The sequence below is a fragment of the Homo sapiens genome, chromosome 1, assembly GCF_000001405.40.
Source record: "Homo sapiens chromosome 1, GRCh38.p14 Primary Assembly".
Taxonomy (NCBI): Eukaryota; Metazoa; Chordata; class Mammalia; order Primates; family Hominidae; genus Homo; species Homo sapiens.
This window is the reverse complement of record NC_000001.11, coordinates 171,596,591-171,600,871: the sequence shown is the minus strand read 5'-3', so window position 1 is coordinate 171,600,871 and position 4,281 is coordinate 171,596,591.

Sequence of the window (4,281 nt, the reverse complement as noted above, 5' to 3'; positions counted from 1 at the left end):
AAGGGCTTTATTCAGCTGGGAGCATTGGCAAGCTACTGCCTTAAAATCCGAGCTCCCTGAGTGCACAATTTCTGTCCCTTTTAAGGGCTCACAACACTAAAGATTTCACATGAAAGGGTCGTGATTGATTGAGCAATCTAGGGGATACGTGACAGGGGTTTCATGCACTGGTAGTCAGAGAGAAACAGAACAGAGCAGGGAGTTCCACATGTTCTTTTATACAATGCCTGAAATCTATGGGTAACATTGGTTTCTAAGTCAGGAGTTGATTTTTAACTACTGGGTTTAGGCCAGGCAGGCCCAGGCCTGGTTTCAGGCCTGGCGCTGGGCTGCCTGTCTTTGGTTTTACTTCCTTGTTGTTTTTTCTTTTTTTCTTAAAACAGGCACTGAATATAAAACAATATGAGAAGGTCTCTCTCTTCCCTCAGAGCCACTGCACCCAACTGAGTGATTTTTCTTAGGTTACTCACCTAGCAAGGCATACCTTGAAGAAATTGTGGGTTTGCTTATAGACTACCACAGTAAAATAAGTCACGTGGACTTTTTGGGTGTCCAGTGCATATAAAAGTTATGTTTACATGGTTGCTATTAAGTGTTCAATAGCATTATGTCTAAAAAAATGCAGTTTTATTTAAAATACTTCATTGCTAAAAAAATGCTAATGATCATCTGAGCTTCTAGTGAGTCATATCTTTTTTTTTTTTTCTGAGACAGAGTTTCGCTCTTGTTGCCCAGGCTGGAGTGAAATGGCGCGATCTCAGCTCACGGAAACCTCTGCCTCCTGGGTTCAAGCGATTCTCCTGCCTCAGCCTCCTGAGTAGCTGGGATTACAGGCATGCACCACCACGCCTGGCTAATTTTGTTATTTTTAGTAGAGACGGGGTTTCTCCAGGTTGGTCAGGCTGGTCTGGAACTCCGGACCTCAGGTGATCCGCCTGCCTCAGCCTCCCAAAGTGCTGGGATTACAGGCGTGAGCCACTGCGCCCAACCAAGTTATATCTTTTTGTTGGTGGAGAATCTTGCCTTGATGTTGGTGGCTGCTGCCTAATCAAGGTGGTGGTTGCTGAAGACCAGGGTGGCTGTGGCAATTTCTTCAAATAAGCCAATGAAGTTTGCCACATCAATTGACTCTTCCTTTCATGAATGAGTTATCTGTACCACGTGATGCTGTTTGATATCATTTTAGCCACAGTAGAACTTCTTCCAAAGTTGGAGTCAGTCGCCTCAAACCTTGTCACTGCTTTATTAACTGAGTTTGTGTAAAATTCTAAATTCTTGTCATTTCAACAACATACACAGCATCTTCACAAGGATAAGGTTCCATCACAAGAAACCACTTTCTTTGCTCATCCATAAGAAGCAACTCCTCATCTGTTCAAGTTTGATCATGAGATTGCAGCAATTCAGTCCCACCTTCAGGCTCCACTTCTAACTCTACCTCTCTTGCTATTTCCACCACATCTGCATTTACTTCCTCTATTGAAGTCTTGAATCCCCTAGGGCTCCATGAGGGTTGGAATAAAACTTCTTCCAAACTCCTATTTGTTGTTGATATTCTGACATCCTCCCATGAACCACAAATGTTATTAATGGCATCTAGAATGGTAAATCCTTTCATATGGCTTTCAATTTCTTTGCCCAGATTCATCAGAGGACTCACTATTTACGAAAGTTGTAGCTTTACAAAACGTATTAATATATATATATTCTTTTCTGAGACAGAGTCTCACTCTGTCACCCAGGCTGGAGTGCAGTGGCACAATCTCAGCTCACTGCAACCTCCACCTCCCAGGTTCAAGCAATTCTCCTTCCGCAGCCTCCTGAGTAGCTAGGATTACAAGCATGTGCCACCATGCCTGGATTTTTTTTTTTTTTGTACTTTTAGAAGAGACGGGGTTTCACCATGTTGGCCAGGCTGGTCTCGAACTCCTGACCTCATGATCTGCCCGCCTCGGCCTCCCAAAGTGCTGGGATTACAAGCGTGATCTACCGCGTCTGGCCTAATATTTCTTAAATAAGACTTGAAAGTCAAAATTACTCTTTGATCCATAGGTTGTAGAATGGATGTCATGTTAGCAGGCATGAAAACATCAATCTTCTTGTACATCTCCATCACAACTCTTGAGTGACTAGGTGCATTGTCAATGAGCTTATCATATTTTGAAAGCTTTAGGTTTTTTCCGTCCCTGAGCAATAGGTCTCAACAGTGGGTTTAAAATATTAGATGCGTTATGCTATAGAGATGTGCTGTCATCCATGCTTTGCTGTTCTATTTCTAGAGCACAGGCAGAGTAGATTTAGCTTAATTTTTAAGGGCCCTAGGATTTTCGAAATGGTAAATGAGTATTGGCTTCAGCTTAAAGTCACCAGCTGCATAAACCCCTCACAAGTCAGTCTTTTTTGAAGCTTTGAAGCCAGGCATTGACTTCTCTCTAGCCTATGAAAGGCCTAGATGGCATCTGCTTCCAATAGAAGGCTATTTTGTCTACCTTAAATACTTGCTATTTAGCATAGCCCCTTCATCAATTATCTCAGCTAGATCTTCCAGACAACTTGCTGCAGTTCGTACATCAACTCTTGCTGCTTCACTTTGCACTTTAATGTTATGGAGATGGGTGTTTTCCTTAAATCTCATGAACCAGCCTCTGCTAGCTTCAAACTTTTCTTCCACAACTTCTTCACCTCTCTGACTTCACGGAATTGGAGTTACGGCTTTGCTCTGGATACGGTTTTGGCTTAAGAGAATGTTGGGCCTGTTTCAATCTTTTATCCAGACCACTAAAACTTTATATCAGAAATAGGGTTCTTTTGTTTTCTTATCATTGTGTAGTCACTGGAGTAGCACTTTTAATTTCCTTCAAGATTTATCTTTTGCATTCACAACTTGTCTAATGGGCCCAAGAAGCCTATCTTTCTGGCCCATCTCAGATTTTGCCATGCCTTCCTCATTAAGCTTAATCATTTTCAGCTTTTGATTTAAACTGAGACGTGCGACTCTTCCTTTTACTTGAACACTTAGAGGCCACTGTAGGGCTATTAATTGGCCTAATTTCAATGTTGTGTCTCCGGGAATACAGAGGCCTAAGGAGACGGAGAGAGGGAACAGCCTGTTTGTGGAGCAATCAGAACACGTGCATTTATGTTCACCATCGTATGGGTGTGGTTCATGAGGCTCCAAATTACACTAGTAACATTCAAGATCCCGGATCACCATAACATGATAATTTAAGCCTGAAATAATTTTAAGAGTTATCAAATGTGACACAGACAGGAAATGAGCACACACTGTTAGAAAATAGCACTAATGAACTTGCTCAACATGGGGTTGCCACAAACCTTCGTTATTTTGAAGAAAAAATCTTGCAATATCTGCAAAGTGCAGTAAAACAAGGTATGCCTGTAACTTCAAGTACAGTGCTTTCACAACAGTGCAGCTTAGTAAAGAGCTTACACTTAAGAATTAGACTGTCTGGACCAAAAAACCCTGCCTCCTCTGCTTACTGTGTATCATTGGGCAGGTTACCACACCTCATTCTCTGCATGTGTAAATAATATTACCTACCTTATAAAGTTGGGGGGTGGAGGGGGCAAGTGGGTGATATTTATGTGTAATTTCCAGTTTTTCCCTGTAAGGTTCTAAGCTGGAGATACAATTCTGATAACTGAGTCATGTAACACGAAACTTTATAACACCCATTTATATTCCCAGGTTATAGAAAGCTGAGGCCCAATCAGTCTCCTCAATGGGTATCACGATCAGCTTCTGTGAAGAGTGTGGTTTTTACTCCAAGTACAACCTTCTTTGCAGCTTCTCATACTAGAGAGGGTGTCTCCTCCCCGGAACCAATAAACCTTATTCACATTGGTAATTAAAAAAAAAAAAAAAATAGCCACTGAATCCTTTAGCCAAGCAAAATTTTAAAGTGGAATTGCTTCTGTTTAATAGTGTGTACTTCCAATCTGAAAACCACTGCCCTAAGTAAACCAGATTACATCAGTTCCAGAGAACTGTCTGAAATTAACTATTTCGCCTCTTGACAAATCTAACCCTGGAGGGCCAGAATGCATCTCTGTCCCTCTACACCATCCTTGAACTTAAGACTTATTCACCTGGAACCACAGGCTCTGCTTATTGGAATTCTCTTCCTCTGTTCTCCACTGAACATTAGTGTCTTTTTCAGCTCAGATAAGGAAACTATTGCTTTTTTTGCTCATATACCAGGAAGACCCAAATTTACACATAATTCTACTTATTAAATATTAGCTAGTATGTGAAGAAAT